The sequence below is a fragment of the Homo sapiens genome, chromosome 1 (assembly GCF_000001405.40).
Source record: "Homo sapiens chromosome 1, GRCh38.p14 Primary Assembly".
NCBI lineage: Eukaryota > Metazoa > Chordata > Mammalia > Primates > Hominidae > Homo > Homo sapiens.
In genome coordinates, this window is record NC_000001.11 from 225,954,012 (window position 1) to 225,971,933 (window position 17,922).

General features: G+C 47.7%; 1 pseudogene, besides 1 other annotated feature; it reads left to right on the forward strand.

Moving 5' to 3' along the window:
- Positions 5,236–5,406: a silencer, noted in NCBI's record as "fragment chr1:226146947-226147117 (GRCh37/hg19 assembly coordinates)". NCBI's record gives its function as "represses an EF-1alpha promoter that drives an FKBP-Casp9 reporter gene in an ReSE screen in K562 erythroleukemia cells {active_cell/tissue: K562}" and the evidence as "EXISTENCE:reporter gene assay evidence [ECO:0000049][PMID:32094911]".
- NDUFA3P3 (NADH:ubiquinone oxidoreductase subunit A3 pseudogene 3) lies at positions 10,158–10,483 on the forward strand (annotated as a pseudogene).

Below are 17,922 nucleotides of genomic sequence, written 5' to 3' on the forward strand. Positions count from 1 at the left end.
TTCTCTAGATCTAGAACTGATGGAATATCTACATTTCACCTTTCCTTTGTTTTTCTCTGCCCTTGGCCTCACATTCTGAAATATCATATCTTTATAGTTTATCCCTTCTCTTGCTGTTTTTTAAACAAAGTTTTTATTTTAGAATAATTTCATATTGATAGAAAAATTGCAAAGATGGTACAGATAGTTCCCATATATCCCACATAAGTTTACTCTATTATTAACATTTACATTAGTATGGTACCTTTGTTATAATCATTGAAGCAATATTGATACAAAATCCACACTTTACCCAGATTGTCTTAGCTTTCACCTAATGTCCACTTTTTGTTCCAGGATCCCACTCATCACACTATATTACATGTCGTTGTCTTGTCTCCTCTTGGCTGTGACATTTGGGTTTTTATTTTCACAAGTAATATTAAAATGTCCAAAGCTCCTTTTTTATTATGGAATCATTCTGAGAATATGAATTATAATCTTAAAGTATTTTATGTTCCCCCCAAGTATTTGCTTGCTCTACAGTCAGTTCTTCAAAGGGGACCAACCTAAGCCATCATCTATTACCATAGAGAAAGTAGAGCTGGGAGTCGTCATGATGAACACTTGTTCTTGGACAAAGACTCCCATTGGGCAGCTCTCCCATTGTGAATTTCAGCCATGTGCTGACTGCAATGGACAGGAGCATAGGCATCGAGGCCTTATCCACTGGGAGGTCCACGGGGGCTGTGAGCACAAGAGGCCACCTTGGACATCACCCAGATCCCTTCTCAATCTGGGTGATGGGCAGCTTCTGGGCTTCCCTAGGGGTACTGACCTCAGGGCTGGGTAGCCCCTTCCTTCTGTCCTGAGGAAGCCTCCCCTAAACAAAGGAGCACCCACCTGTGCCCAGAGCCTGGAGAAACCTCTGAGGTATGCAGATTGGGGGACTGTATGTAGGAGCCCAAACTTTACCAAAACACCTGTAGAGTCTGTGAGAAAGGAAGACTCCAGCTAGGTGGATGGGATGACCTCTGCAAGGCAGTCTGGAGACCGTCTGGAGGCCATGGGGATGGCAGCTCTCACTGGTGTGAGCCAAGCCACCTTTTCTTTTTCTTTTCTTTTTTTTTTTTTTTTTGAGTTGGAATCTCACTCTGTTGCCCAGGCTGGAGTGCAGTGGCCCAGTCTCAGCTCACTGCAATCTCTGCCTCCCAGGTTCAAGTGATTCTCCAGCCTCAGTCTCCTGAGTAGCTAGGATTACAGGCGCATGCCACCGCGCCCGGCTAATTTTTGTATTTTTAGTGGTCAGGCTGGTCTCGAACTCCTGACCTCGTGATCCACCCGCCTCAGCCTCCCAAAGTGCTGAGATTACAGGCATGAGCCACCACACCTGGCCACTGAGCCACCTTTTCTAAAAATTGGTATGAAATAGATAACGTATATATGGTCACCTTAAACAGGTCGCTCATGTTCTCTCCTCAGTTAAGGACCATGGAGCAAAGGCTCGAGGCTGGTCTGACACTCGTTGGGAGGGTAGCAGGGGTCCGATTGTTTGCATTGTCCCAGCATGAGGAACCACCAGTCTGGCTGAGCCCTGCCCCTCAGACCCACCATGGCTTGGTTTACATGTTTCTGTGTAGCAAGCCAAGGAGGTCTTGGTTGAACCTAGCGGTCATTAGAGGTATGGGAGTGGGGGACCATATCAGCAGTTTCCACTTTATTCTGAAGACAGTGGGATTTCTGAGACTGTCATGGTTTGAAAAGCTCGCTCATCAGCCTTGTGGGGAATGGAGGAAAGGAGGCCAGGAGGAGTGGCCTCTGTGGTCACACAGAAGAAAAATTGTGGGACCTGAATCATGGCAGTAGCAAATGGGATAAAGCCACTAGCCATCCAGGAGGTGAGTCTATGGTGACCAAGGACCGAGTAGATGTGGCAGAGGAGACTCCCAGCCTGTAAGAGGAGGCGGGTCCAGATTTCAAGGGAGAAGACATCAGGTTCTGTCTGAGTGATGAGGAGCCTGTGGGAAATCTGGGAGGAGAAGTTACGGAACCATGACCCTGGGCAACATCAGCATAGCATGTAGGTGGTACCTGGAGCCATGGGGGGAAGAGGCCATCATCAGATGATATAGGAGAAGGACACTTATGAAGCCCTTTGGAGACATCCACCAGAACCTCTCCAGAGAAAGATTGTTGTGTAACAAATTATCTTGACTCGGTGGCTTAAACACCAAGCATTTATTGTCTCACCATTCCTATGGATGAAGAATCTAGAAACAGTTTAGCTGCATGGTTCTGGCTCGGGGTTTCCCATGAGGTTGCCATGAAGATGTCGGCTAGGGCTGCAGTCGGCTGAAGGCTTACCTGGGGCCCGAGGATCCACCTGCAGGATTCACTCACATGGCTGTTGGCTGAAGGCTTCAGCTCCTCTTTGGCTCTTTGCAGAAGGCATCAGGTCCTCCCTGAGTGGACCTCTCCATGGGTCTTCAGAAGGCAGCTGCAGACCCACAACTTTTACTCAAGAGAGGAAGTCAGGGCTTAAAAGAGAAATCTGTGGATTGTCCAAATAGAAGTAATACTTGATGTCACAAAAACAAATGTCACAGAAAGAGAGAGACGGATTCTGACTTTATTTAAAAGTTGGGCCGGGCACGATGGCTCACACCTTTATTCCCAGCACTTTGGGAGGCCGAGGCAGGTAGATCACCTGAGGTCAGGAGTTCGAGACCAGCCTGGCCAACATGGCAAAACCCTGTCTCTACTAAAAATACAAAAATTAGCCTGGCATGGTGGCGTGTGCCTGTAATCCCATCTACTAGGGGGCTGAGGAAGGAGGATTGCTTGAACCTGGGAGGTGGAGGTTGCAGTGAGCCGAGATTGCGCCACTGCACTCCAGCCTGGGAGATAGAGTGAAACTCTGTCTCAAAAAAAAGAAGTTTGGGCCAGCCACAGTGGCTCACACTTGTAATCCCAGCACTTTAGGAGGCTGAGGTGGGGATTGCTTGAGCCCAGGAGTTCAAGACCAACCTTGGCAACATGGTGAAACCCCACCTCTACAAAAAATACAAAAACAATTAGCCAGACATGGTGGTGCACGCCTATAGTCCCAGTTACTTGGGAGGCTGAGGTGGGAGGATCACCTGAGCCTGGGGAGGTCGAGGCTGCAGTGAGCTGTGATTGCACCACTGTACTCCAGCCTGGGCAACAGAGTGAGACCCTGTCTCAAAAAATATATATATATATTTTGATATTTTGCTCATTGTGATTTTTTGGTGTTAATTTTCACTTAAAAAATGTTAAATTAAAATATTGTTTATCATGATTACTCAATTCTTTGGTGCCCTCTTAGATTTTGCATCCAAGGTGAGTATCCCACTGACCCCACCTGGGCCCAGTTCTAGGGAGAGTGGAGGGTCCCAGCTGGGGCCTGGGAGAATAGCAGGAAAGTGAGAAAACAAAGTCGAGAGAGGAAAGGGTTTCAGAAAGAAGGCATGGTCAATGAAGACACAGCAGCGGAGATGGGACCGTTCCTTCCTCTACCTTTGCCACGTCACTGTGGTTTTTTCTTAAATTTATCAAAGGTGGGAGGAGAATTTAGAACTTCCTAGAGTCCAGCCTCAGGCAGTGAGAGATATTTCCAGGCAGATCCCCAGGGAGCTTTGTGGCTTCGATGCCTGCCTCCCAGAGGTTGCAACACTATCTAAAGAGCAGAGCCCCCTCTAAGAAAATCATTTTTGAGGAGGGGGAAAAAGTTAACCCTGAAGCTTCAAATGGTGTCACCTCTCTTCAGAAGGACCAAGAATGCGAGTGAACTGGGTACAGTGGCTCACATCTGTAATCACAGCACTTTTGGAGGCCATGGCAGGAGGATCCCTTGAGCCCAGGAGTTCAAGGTCAGCCTGGCCAACATAGTGAGACCTCATCTCTAAAAACAAAATAAGATAAAATAAAAAATAAAAGAATGGGAATGAACGAGGAACGCTGTGGCTCCCTGATCCCCGTTTAAGGCTCAGTGTGCAGCGTTTGCATCTACATCTACCCGGGCTGGGTCTCCTTGCTGTCACACATGTTCTATTTCTACCCTCAAAACAATGGAGGACTTTGGAAGGGAAACTGAGGCCAAAACGCACAAACTAATTCATCCAAGGCCTTGCAGTGTGACTGCCATGTCAACAGGGTCAGGGTGTCCTGCTGGGATTTGAACCCACGCCCCCTGACCAGTCTAGGCTGCACCTTTGGCCCCTTAATCTAATGGGTAAACAATCTCCTAATCCTAGTAGATGGGCTACTTCTGGGCAGCAGGCTAATCCCATCCACAGTTCATTCATGCAATCCACATCTACTGAGCACCTATCCATCATCAGCCACCTCAGAGCTGGGGATACAAAGCCCGGGTCCCACCCTTGAGGAGCTCAGTGTTTAGTTAACAGGATGATAGTGGACAGGATACGAAGTGTGGCTGGGCCCAGGCCATGCTAATGTGGATTTCCATCAGCTTCCCACTGAGCAGCTGATTTCAGAATTTCCTTCTTTTGGGGTCAGAGGCCCTTCCACGTTGACTGAACGGATGCAGCCCTGCCACCGACTGAGCAGTGGGCCTGGAGAAGGCCCTGGCACAGGGACGCACAGGTATAATCCTGGGTATAATCCCTTCAGATCTGCCTCTACTCTTGCCTCATTGCAGGAGGGCTGAGCCACAGCCTTGCTTGCAAAGCAAGTGGCATTCTTGCCACCCTAAAGGACACTGGCCCCAGTTAACGTGACCTGGCTTTGAAAGACCATCAGTGAAATAAGACTGGGATGGCCTGGCACAGTGGCTCATGCCTGTAATCTCAGCACTTTGGGAGGCCGAGGCGGGTGGATCACTTGAAGTCAGGTGTTTGAAACCAGCCTGGCCAACATGGTGAAATCCTGTATCTACTAAAAATACAAAAAATTAGCTGGGCGTGGTGGCAGGCACCTGTAATCCCAGCTACTTGGGAGGCTGAGACAGGAGCATCGCTTGAACCCAGGAGGCGGAGGTTGCAGTGAGCCAAGATCATGCCATTGCACTCCAGGCTGAACAACAAGAGTGAAACTCCATCTCAAAAACAAACAAACAAACAAACACAAATTAGCTGGGCATAGTGGTGCGTGCCTGTAATCCCAGCTACTCGGGAGGCTGAGGCAGGAGAATCACTTGAATCCAGGAGGCAGAGGTTGCAGTGAGCCGAGAACACACCAGTGCACTCCAGCCTAGGTGACAGAGTGAGACTCCATCTCAAAAAAAAAAAAAAAAAAAAAAAAAGAAATAAAAAGAAATAAGACTGAGCCTAAAAGAAATAAAGTGATGTCAGGAAATCCGTGGCTGAGACCCACATCAAGGATGCTGGCTTCTTCGTTCAGCAGAGACCCCTCCAGCCTGCACTGTTCCTTCCTGCTTCTGAGTGGCCTTGCGCCCACTCCCAGGCAATGTCATGTGCTGGCCAAGCCCACAGAGCCCTGAGCCACATTGCCCAGGCCGGAGCCCAGTTCACCACTCCAGAGTCAGGTGGTCTTGGGTACCCTCCTTGCCTTGGCTTCAACATCTGCAGAATGAGGAGGATAATAGAGTCTTTTTTCTAGGTTTTGTAAATCACTTGCTGTTTATTAGGCTCTAAACAGTTCCCAGAACATGGAAAACACTATGTAAATGCTTTAAAAAACAAAATAAATAAAAGAAGGGACCCGGGCACAGTGGCTTACACCTGTAATCCCAGCACTTTGGGAGGATCGCTTGGGCTCAGAAGGTCAAGCAGCCTGGGTAACAAAGTGAGACCCTGTCTCTACAAAAAATTAAAAAAATTAGCTGGGCATAGTGGCATGTACCCGTGGTCCCAGCTACTCAGGAGGCTGAGGCAGGAGGATCCCTTGAGCCCAGTAGGTTGAGGCTGCACTGAGCTGTGTTTGCACCACTGTACTCCAGCCTAGGTGACAGAGCAAGACCCTGTGTCAAAAAATAATAAAAACAAAATAAAATAAGGAATCCAAGAGGCTCTTTGATCCCACTGCTTTCAGCAAGGATCCCATCATCCATGGAGTGTGGAAAGCCTCAGAACACAGCCTTGGCTGGCTGAGGTGGCTCACGCCTGTAATCCCAGCGCTTTGGGAGGCCGAAGCAGGCGGACCACGAGGTCAGGAGTTCGAGACCAGACTGGCCAACATGGTGAAACCCCATCTCTACTAAAAATACAAAAAATTAGCTGGGTGTGGTGGCGCCCACCTGTAATCCCAGCTACTCAGGAGGCTGAGGCAGGAGAATCCCTTGAACCCAGGAGGTGGAGGTTGCAGTGAGCCAAGATTGTGCCACTGCACTCTGGCCTGGACAACAGAGCAAGACTCTGTCTCAAAAAACAAACAAACAAAAAAAAAAACAGCCTTAATCAGTGGAAGGTGGCATTGTTCAGGCACTAAATTAATAAAGACTTCTTTTGACCCACCTGGGCAATATGGCGAAACCCACCTCTACAGAAAATACAAAAGTTAGCTGGGCATGGTGGCAAATGCTTGTTGTCCCAGCTACTTGGGAGGCTGAGGTGGGAGGATTGCTTGAGCCGGGGAGGCGGAGGTTGCAGTGAACCGAGATCATGCCACTGCACTCCAGCCTAGGTGACAGAGCGAGACCCTGCCTCAAAAAAAAAAAAAAAAAGACTTCTTTTGAGAAGGGAATAGCATCGGTGAGGGAGCAGTGAGATGGTTGCTAGGCACACTTACAGGTGTCATCTTGTCGTGCAGTATCTTGATAATATGTGTCAAGAACCTTAAAAATATTGATCTCCTTGGCTGGGTGTGGTGGCTTACACCTCTAATCCCAGCACTTTGGGAGGCCGAGGTGGGCAGATCACTTGAGGCCAGGAATTCAAGACCAGCTTGGCCAACATGGCAAAACCCTGTCTCTACTAAAATACAAAAATTAGGGAGACTGAGACAGGAGAATTACTTGAACCTGGGAGGCAGGGTTTGCAGTGAGCCGAGCTCGCGCTGCTATGCTCCAGCCTGGGCGACAGAGTGAGACTCCGTCTCAAAAAATATATACGTACATATATTCATAGACTAGCGCCAGTAAGAACCTATCTGTGAATGTCCCAGGGAGATCATTTGAGATTCAGGCAAAGGTCAATATGCAAAGATTTTATACAATTTCAAAAAAATTAAGAAATGCAAATGCCTCACAAAACAAGAAAGGTCAAATGATGGTGCATACACAGAGAAAACTGTTATATAGTCATTAAAAACCACATGTGGAAGAATTTTACATGCCATAAAGAAAGCTCATACTATGCAATGTCAAATCAAAAAGGAACACATATCATCTTCACTCATAATATATGATTTCAGTCAATATACACAGAAAAGCAAACAAACAAGGATATTTACCAAAGTATTAACAATGACTATTACTGAGTTGAGGACATCTGGGTGATGTTCAGCTTCATCTTTATATTCTTTATATATTTTCCAGAATCTCTGAAAGCTTTTTTTTAAATAATCAGAAAAAAAGAATTTTTATTCTATTTTATTTTTAATGCACAAACTCTGAAGTCTCGACAGATAAATTCTGCCAATAACCTACCTCACCTACCTACTTAGAAGCTTAGGCAAGTTATTTAACCACTCGGACACTCCGTTTGATCAACCATGAGATGTGAGAACATCAACTCCATGAAGTGTGGGGATGGAGAATGAAGCAAGGCACCAGAACCTGTGGTCCAGACCCCACCCGCCACATCCCCTAGAGGGGATGTCTAGGGGAAGAGTCCTATCCTCCCTTGGGATGTCTTAGAATTTTTAGTTTCCTTTCTTTCCTTCCTTTCTTTCTTTCCTTCTTTTCTTTTTCCTTCCTTCCTCCCTCCCTCCCTCTCTCTCTCTCTCTCTCTTTCTTTCTTTCTTAGATGGAGTCTCACTCTGTCGCCCAGGTTGGAGTGCAGTGGCGGGATCTCTGCTCACTGCAACCTCCACCTCCCGGGTTCAAGCAATTCTCCTGCCTCAGATTCCCGAGTAGCTGCGATTACAGGCATGTGCCACCATGCCCGGCTAATTTTTGTATTTCTAGTAGAGATGGGTTTTCTCCATGTTGACCAGGCTGGTCTCGAACTCCTGACCTTGTGATCCGCTCGGCTCGGTCCCCCAAAGTGCTGGGATTACAGGCGTGAGCCACAGCGCCTGGCCGGAATTTTTAGTTTCTGAAGGAAGTACTTCTTGGCTGTATAAGCTGTCTTCATAAACCCACACATTCAAAGAAATTTCCTTCTGAGCACGCCAGTGAAAGAGTATTCGTGAAAAAGGTCTTGCACACTAAAGTGGTCAAGCAATGTCCAAGGGTGGGGGATAGTTACCGGGAAGAATTGTGTGAGGTCTCTCGGGGTTCCTGTCCCACCCCAGGCTGTAGCGGGGGAAGGAGGAAAGAAGACGAAAGGGAGGACTGGGGAAAACGGACTCAGAGGACCCACCCACCTGCAGCTGCCCAGGCTCCTGGGCAGTGCCCTCCAGGAAGCACAGAAGTAGGGGCTGGAGGCGGGCTTCGGTGGACCCCGAGCCCGGGCCGGCAGCCAGCAGGGGTCGCTGCAGACATGGGAATCACGGTGCTGACCGTGCCTCTGCAGCGCTGTCTTCAGGTGCTTTTGCTGAACGGTCATATCTTCTCTAAACCCAGGGGGTGCAGAGGGTCCTCCCAGACGAAGAAACCGAGGACAGAGAGGTCAAAGGACTTGCCCAGAGTCCCTAACTGGTTAATGGAAAAACTCCTGCTCTTCTAACTTAACGTCAAGCCGGAGGATTCAGGCAGCGACTATGAGACGCCCTGTAAGAGAGGAAGGGTTAGGGCAAGAGCTTATCAAATGTTTAAAAATTATATATTTTATAATAATTCGGCCAGGCACCGTGGCTCACACCTGTAATCCCAGCTCCTTGGGAGGCTGAGACGGGCGGATCACCTGAGCTCAGGAGTTCCAGACCAGCCTGGCCTGCCTCTCCTTTCTCTGTAGTAGAGAAACTCCGTCTCTACTAAAAATTCAAAAATTAGCTGGGTGTGGTGGGTGCCTGTATTCCCACCTGGAGGTGGAGGAACGAGAATCGCTTGAACCCGGGAGGCGGAGGTTGCAGTAGGCCGAGATCGCGCCATTGCACTCCAATCTGGGCGACAAAGTGAGACTCTGCCTCAAAAATAATAATGGTAGTAATAATAATAATAAAATTAAAAATTAAAAAAAATCTTGAGCAATGAAATGAGTGTATTTGTTTCCCAGAATCCTCAGCAGTACAGGGAAGTTTCAAAATTAGCTTTCTTGTTTTGTTACCGGTATAACAGCTATAATATGACTTCTCAGTATTGATTTAGGCTATTCTTATTTACAAAAACTTGGTAATTAAACTATATTAAATTTAAGAAGTCCTGTTCCTCAAAAGACACCAATAAGAATGAAAATTCAAGCCAGAGTGTGGGAGAAGATATTCATAATTCATATACCCGACAAAGGACTTGAATCCAGAATATAGAAAAACTTGCTAAAAGTCAATAAGAGGCTGGGCGCAGTGGCTCACGCCTGTAATCCCAGCACTTTGGGAGGCCGAGGTGAGCGGATCACCTGAGGTCAGAAGTTCGAGACCAGCCTGACCAATATGGTGAAACCCCATCTCTACTAGAAATACAAAAATTACGCAGGCATAGTCATGGGCCCCTGTAATCCCAGCTACTCAGGAGTCTGAGGTAGGAGAATCTCTTGAACCCAGGAGGCAGAGGTTGCAGTGAGCTGAGATCGCACTACTGCAACAGAGCGAGACTCCATCTCAAAAAAAAAAAGAAAAAAAGTCAATAAGAAAAGGACAGTCAGACAATTCAATGAAAAAAATGGCAAAAAAAAAACCTCACAAAATGGGCAAAAGACTAGAATAGGCACATGGTAGAAGAGGATATCCACGTGGCCAATCAACAGGAAAAAATGCTTGGCTTCATTAGTCATCAGGGAAATGCAAGTTAATACGTGATGTGGCCGGGCACGGTGGCTCATGCCTCTATTCTCAGTGCTTTGGGAGGCTGAGGCGGGAGGATTGCTTGAGCCCTTCAAGACCAGCTTGGGCAACATAGTGAGATGAAATCTCTAATCACACACAAACTCACACACTCCCACTGTAATAAATATATATATATATATATATATAAAGCCGAGACCAAGATGGTTGTGAGACTTGGCGCCTTCCTCAAGAACTCCTGGGCCAAGGAGCCAGTGCTGGTGGTCTCCTTCGTCATCGGGAGCCTCACTGTAATTCTGCCCCCACTCAGCCCCTACACCAAGTATTCCATCATGATCAATGAGGCCACACCCTACAACTATCCAGTGCCCGTCCACGATGATGGGAACATGCGGACATGTGCAGCCACCCCCAGGGCCCCCAGGGCCCCAGCTTGGAGTGGCTGAAGAAAGTGTGAGCACCTCCACTGACAGAAGAGGCCCCTCGCATGGCTCCCAATAAAAATGTGAAAACCAACAACTTTATATATATATATATATATATATATATATATATATACACACACACATATATATGTGTATATATATATGTATATATATACACACATATATATGTGTATATATATATGTATATATATGTATATATATGCGTGTATATATGTATATATATGTATATATGTATATATGTATATATATGTATATATGTGTGTATATATATGTATATATATGTATATATATGTGTGTATATATATGTATATATATATGTGTATATATATGTATATCAAGTGTTGCTATTTCTCCCAATATCTCCTAAAGCTGAATATTTACACATCCTGTGACCAGCATAGGTATATAATCAACAGAAATATGTTCATGTGTGTGATGGTTAATATTAAGTGTCAACTTGATTGTGGCCGGGCGTGGTGGCTCACACCTGTAATCCCAGCACTTTGGGAGGAGGCTGAGGCTGGCAGATCACTTGAGGCCAAAAGTTCAAGACCAGCCTGGTCAACATGGCAAACCCCGTCTCTACTAAAAATACAAAAATTAGCCAGGCATGATGGCGCGCACCTGTAGTCCCAGCTACTCAGGAGACTGAGGCAGGAGAATTGCTTGAACCAGGGAGGCAAAGGTTGCAGTGAGCCAAGATTGCGCCACTGCACCCCAGCCTGGGCGACAGAGCATGACTCTGTCTCAAAAAAAAAAAAAGTGTCAACCTGATTGGATTGAAGGATGCAAAGTATTGTTTCTGGGTGTTTTTTTGTGACAGTGGTAGCAGAGGAGATTAACATTTGAGGCAGTGGACTGGGAGAGGCAGCATGGCTAGAAATAGCAGGCAGGAGATGGAAGGGCAGAGTTGCTGAGTCTTCAGGCCTTCATCTTTCTCCCGTGCTCGATGCTTCCTGCCCTGGAACATCAGACTCCAAGTTCTTTGGTTTTTGGACTCTTGGACTTACACTGGTGGTTTGCCAGGGGCTCTCGGGCCTTTGGCCACAGACTGAAGGCTGCACTGTCAGCTTCCCGACTTTTGAGGTTTTGAGACTCAGACTAAGCCACTACTGGCTTCCTTGCTCCTGAGCTTGCAGAGAGTCTATCGTTGGACTTTACCTTGTGATCTTGTGAGTCAATTCTCCTTAATAAACTTCCTTTCATATATACATACATCCTATTAGTTCTGTCCCTTTAGTTCTGTCCCTAATACAAGGTGTTGATCAAAAGCAAGTTCTAGAATGTTCAGGCTGACTCTGGGCACAGTGCCTATGGGTTAGTCCTCCTACAAAAGGAGCAGCACCAGTTCAGTAAAATTGCTACAGAGAGAGAGAGAGAGAGAGAGAGAGAGAGAGAGAGAGAGAGAATGTTCCATAGTGTAGGGAAAAGAAAGAGAGATCAGACTGTTACTGTGTCTATGTAGAAAGGAAAGACATAAGAGACTCCATTTTGAAAAAGACCTGTACTTTAAACAGTTGCTTTGCTGAGATGTTGTTAATTTGTAGCTTTGCCCCAGCCACTTTGACCCAACCTGGAGCTCACAAAAACATGTGTTGTACGAAATCAAAGTTTAAGGGATCTAGGGCTGTGCAGGACGTGCCTTGTTAACAACATGTTTACAAGCAGTATACTTGGTAAAAGTCATCGCCATTCTCTAGTCTCAATAAACCAGGGGCACAATGCACTGCGGAAAGCCGCAGGGACCTCTGCCCTGGAAAGCTGGGTATTGTCCAAGGTTTCTCCCCATGTGATAGTCTGAAATATGGCCTTGTGGGATGAGAAAGACCTTACCATCCCCCAGCCCGACACCCATAAAGGGTCTATGCTGAGGTGGATTAGTAAAAGAGGAAAGCCTCTTGCAGTTGAGATAGAGGAAGGCCACTGTCTCCTGCCTGCCCCTGGGAACTGAATGTCTCAGTATAAAACCCGACTGTACATTTGTTCAATTCTGAGATAGGAGAAAAACCGCCCTATGGTGGGAGGCAAGACATGTTTACAGCAATGCTGCCTTGTTATTCTTTACTCTGCTGAGATGTTTTGGTGGAGAGAAACATAAATCTGACTTACGTGCACGTCCAGTCATAGTACCTTCCCTTGAACTTCATTATGACATAGATTCTATTGCTCACATGTTTGTTGCTGACCTTCTCCTTATTATCACCCTGCTCTCCTACTACATTCCTTTTTACTAAAATAATAAAAATAATAATCAATAAAAACTGAGGGAACTCAGAGACTGGTGCCGGTGCAGGTCCTTGGTATGCTGAGTGCCAGTCCCCTGGGCCCACGGTTGTTTCTCTATACTTTGTCTCTGTGTCTTATTTCTTTTCTCAGTCTCTCATCCCACCTGACTAGAAATACCCACAGGTGTGGAGGGGAAGGCCACCCCTTCACATAGCAGCACCATTAATAATACCCCCAAACTGGGAATTATCCAAATATCCATCAATAGTAGAGTGGATGAATTGCTGCACACTAGAATACTATAAAGCAACGAACATGAATGAATGACCACTACTCATGAATGAATGAAACCGTATAGGGAATCCCACATACATCATACATGTAAAAGAAAACTTGCCTTCTCTCAGATTCCATTTATACAAGTCAGGATAATGGTACCCTTGGAAGGTAGTGACCAGAAGGGGTCTCCAGGGCTTTGGAGTTCTTATAATGTTCTGTTTCTTGATCTGGATGCTGGTTACAGAGTTCATTTGTAAAAAAAAAAATTCACGTTGTACATTCTGATTTATTCATTGTTCATACTGTTTGTATGTTATATTCAATAACACAATTTTTAAGACACCATTAAGGAAATGGAAAGCTGAGAGTAGGAGGAGACATTTGCAACACATAAAAATATCACTTAGGTCTTTGCCTTTACTCTAAATTAAGTAAGGGGCCAGGCGCGGTGGCTCATGTCTATAATCCCAGCACTTTGAGAGGCCAAGATGGACAGATCACCTGAGGCCAGGAGTTCAAGACCAGCCTGGCCAACAGAGTGAAACCCTGTCTCTACTAAAAATACAAAAAAAAAATAGCCAGGCATGGTGGCGCGCAACTGTAGTCACAGTTTCTTGGGAGGCTGAGCCATGAGAATTGCTTGAACCCTGGAGGCAGAGGTTGCAGTGAGCCAAGATCACACCACTGCACTCCAGCCTGGGCAACAGAGTTGAGACTCCGTCTCAAAAAAAAAAAAAAAAATTAAGGGCTTTTTTTTCTTATGATCTCTTCATCTTTCTCTATGAATTTTATGTGTTTCTACAGACATATATAATTTGAAAATAAATTACTCTTTTTGATTTATGGAATATGTTTCTCCCCATTACAAACTTCTAAATGGAGATGAGTGGAACTTTTGCTATTTCTCTGGAGAAAAATTTCAAATTATTTATGTTGCCCTTGTTTTCTTCCCCCTTTGGCTAAAAGATTTTGTAGTTTTATTTTTTAAGCTCTTCATTTCCCCCCCCACATTCTTCGTTTCCCTCTCTCCCTACATCTTCTTCTTTTTTTTTTTTTTTTTTTTTTCTGAGACAGTCTTGCTTTGTCGCCCAGGCTGGAGTGCAATGGTGCGATCTCGGCTCACTGCAACCTCCGCCTCCTGGGTTCAGTGATTCTCTTGCCTCAGCCTCTCCAGTAGCTGGGGTTACAGGCACTCGCCACCATGCCCAGCTAATTTTTGTATTTTTAGTAGAGACGGGGTTTCACCATGTTGGCCAGGCTGGTCTTGAACTCCTGACCTTAGATGATCCACCCACCTCGGCCTCCCAAAGTGCTGGGATTACAGGTGTGAGTCACCGTGACTGGCCTCTCCCCACACCTTCACAAAACTGCTGGCAACTCACGAGAGGATGCCTGCTGTCAGCATCACCCTCCTTGATGTGACGTAAGAAGAAACTGAGACCTTCAGTCCAGCTCCATGATCTGCAGGGTATAGTGCAAGGAAGAGGAAGAGAGGGGAAAACTAGGCTTCCTAGCCGTCGAACTCAGCCTTTTCCAAGGCCATACATCACCTTCTACTATTAGTATCATTTATTTATTTATTTTTGAGACGGGGTCTCACTCTGTTACCCAGGCTGGAGCGCAGTGACGCGATTATAGCTCACTGCGGCCTCAACCTCCCCAGGCTCAAGTGATCCTCCCACTCAGCCTCCTAAGTAGCTGGGACTACACACGCACCACCATGCCTGGCTAATTTTTTTTTTTTTTTTTTTTTTTTTTTTTTTAGTAGAGACAGGGTTTTGCCCTGCTGCCCAAGCTGGTCTCAAACACCTGGGCTCAAGGGATTCGCCTACCTTGGGCTTCCAAAATGCTGGGATTACAGGCATAAACCACCGTGCCTGGTTCTATTAGTACTTTTATAAACAGCATCTAGGACAAGTGAGCAAGTGACAACAAATCACGCCAGGTGGCACCCCCAGCCAGCCGGCCAGCGCCACATCCAAGCGCACCGAGGCATCCTTACTGAGCCCTGAACACAGCAGTGACCCCGATGGGCCTGTGCCATGAGGCCCACATTCCACTGAGGGGAGACAGACATAAGCCTCCAGGGAAACCAGATAATGGGAAGGAAGCAAACAGGGTGATGAAAGGGAGTGACTAAGGAGGGCTCGCTGAGGAGGTGACTTGAGAATGAACGGCACAAAAAGGCCTGGGAAGGTAGTTCCAGACAGAGGGAGCAAGGGGCGGGGTTGAGAAAGGGCTTGGCGTAGTTCAGGATAAGAATAGAGCAGGAGGCGAAAGCCAGGGGCCACAGGAGGAAACCCAGGCCGTGGTGAGGCTCTGACCCTGACAGCCATAGGCAGCCACTGAGGAGCTTCAAGCAAAAGAGTGACATAGTCTGATTTGCATTTAAAAAAAAAATCAGACCAGGTGCGGTGGCTCACGCCTGTAATCTCAGCATTTTGTGAGGCCGAGGCAGGCCGATCACCTGAGGTCAGGAGTTCGAGACCAGCCTGGCCAACATGGTGAAATCCCATCTCCACTAAAAATACAAAAATTAGCCAGGCATAGTGGTGTGGAACTGTAATCCCAGCTACTCGGGAGGCTGAGGCAGGAGAATTGCTTGAACCCGGGAGGCGGAGGTTGCAGTGAGCTGGGATTGCGCCACTGCACTCCAGCTGAGAGGTGACAGCGTGCTGGCAGTCCTCACAGCCCTCGCTCGCTCTCGGCGCCTCCTCTGCCTGGGCTCCCACTTTGGCGGCACTTGAGGAGCCCTTCAGCCCACCGCTGCACTGTGGGAGCCCCTTTCTGGGCTGGCCAAGGCCAGAGCCGGCTCCCTCAGCTTGCAGGGAGGTGTGGAGGGAGAGGCGCGATCGGGCACCGGGGCTACGCGCGGCGCTTGCGGGCCAGCTGGAGTTCCGGGTGGGCGTGGGCTTGGCGGGCCCTGCACTGGGAGCAGCCGGCAGGGCTGGCCCTGGGCAATGAGGGGCTTAGCACCCGGGCCAGCGGCTGCGGAGGGTGTACTGGGTCCCCCAGCAGTGCCAGCCCACCGGCGCTGCGCTTGATTTCTCACCCGGCCTTAGCTACCTTCCGGCGGGGCAGGGCTCGGGTCCTGCAGCCCGCCATGCCTGAGCCTCCCACCCCCTCCATGGGCTCCTGTGCAGCCCGAGCCTCCCTGACGAGCGCCACCCCTGCTCCATGGCGCCCAGTCCCATCAACCACCCAACAGCTGAGGAGTGCAGGCGCACAGCACCGGGACTGGCAGGCAGCTCCATCTGCAGCACCAGTGCGGGATCCACTGGGTGAAGCCAGCTGGGCTCCTGAGTCTGGTGGGGACGTGGAGAACCTTTATGTCTAGCTCAGGGATTGTAAATACACCAATCAGCACTCTGTATCTAGCTCAAGGTTTGTAAACACACCAATCAGCACCCTGTGTCTAATCAGGGTTTGTGAATGCACCAATTGACACTGTATCTAGCTACTCTGGTGGGGCCTTGGAGAACCTTTATGTCTAGCTCAGGGATTGTAAATACACCAATCAGCACTCTGTATCTAGCTCAAGGTTTGTAAACACACCAATCAGCACCCTGTGTCTAGCTCAGGGTTTGTGAATGCACCAATCGACACTCTGTATCTAGCTACTCTGGTGGGGCCTTGGAGAACCTTTGTGTGGACACTCTGTATCTAGCTACTCTGGTGGGTAGGTGGAGAACCTTTGTGTGGACACTCTGTATCTAGCTACTCTAGTGGGTAGGTGGAGAACCTTTGTGTCTAGCTCAGGGATTGTAAACGCACCAATCAGCACCCTGTCAAAACAGACCACTCGGCTCTACCAATCAGCAGGATGTGGGTGGGCCCAGATAAGAGAATAAAAGCAGGCAGCTGAGTCAGCAGCTGCAACCTGCTCGGGTCCCCTTCCACACTGTGGAAGCTTCGTTCTTTCGCTCTTTGCAATAAATCTTGTAATTGCTCACTCTTTGGGTCCACACTGCTTTTATGAGCCATAACACTCACCGCGAAGGTCTGCAGCTTCACTTCTGAAGCCAGCGAGACCATGAGCCCACCGGGAGGAACGAAGAACTCCAGATGCGCTGCCTTAAGAGCTCTAACACTCACCGCGAAGATCTGCAGCTTCACTCCTGAGCCAGCGAGACCACGAACCCATCAGAAGGAAGAAACTCCCAACACATCCAAACATCAGAAGGAACAAACTCCAGACGCACCACCTTAAGAGCTGTAACACTCACCTCCAGGGTCCGTGGCTTCATTCTTGAAGTCAGTGAGACCAAGAACCCACCAATTCCGGACCCACAACCTGGGTGACAGTGAGAATCCATCTCAAAACAAACAAATCAAATGGATAAACAAAATGGAGTCTATTCATACAATGGAATATTATTCAGCCTTAAAAAGAAAGGAAATTCTTGCCCGGCGCGGTGGCTCACACCTGTAATCCCAGCACTTTGGGAGGCCAAGGTGGGTGGATCACAAGTTCAGGAGTTTGAGACCAGCCTGGCCAACATGGTGAAACCCTGTCTCTACTAAAAATACAGAAATTAGGCCAGGCGCGGTGGCTCACGCCTGTAATACCAGCACTTTGGGAGGCCAAGGCAGGTGGATCATGAGGTCAGGAGTTCAAGATCAGCCTGGCCAAGATGATGAAACCCCATCTCTACTAAAAATATAAAAATTAGCTGGGTGTGGTAGCGCTCCTGTAGTCCCAGCTACTCTGGAGGCTGAGGCAGGAGAATCACTTGAACCCAGGGGGCAGAGGTTGCAGTGAGCTGAGATCCTGCCACTGCACTCCAGCCTGGGCAACAGAGTGAGACCCGTCTCAAAACAAAAGATACATCATTTGTTTCAACAACAAGATTTTAAAACCCACAGGAAAACAAAGCAGGGTGCAGTGGCTCATGCCTGTAATCCCAGCACTTTGGGAGGTGAAGGTGGGTAGATCGTTTGAGGCCAGGAGTTCAAGACCATCCTGGGAAACATATCAAGACTCCATCTCTACAAAAAATAAATA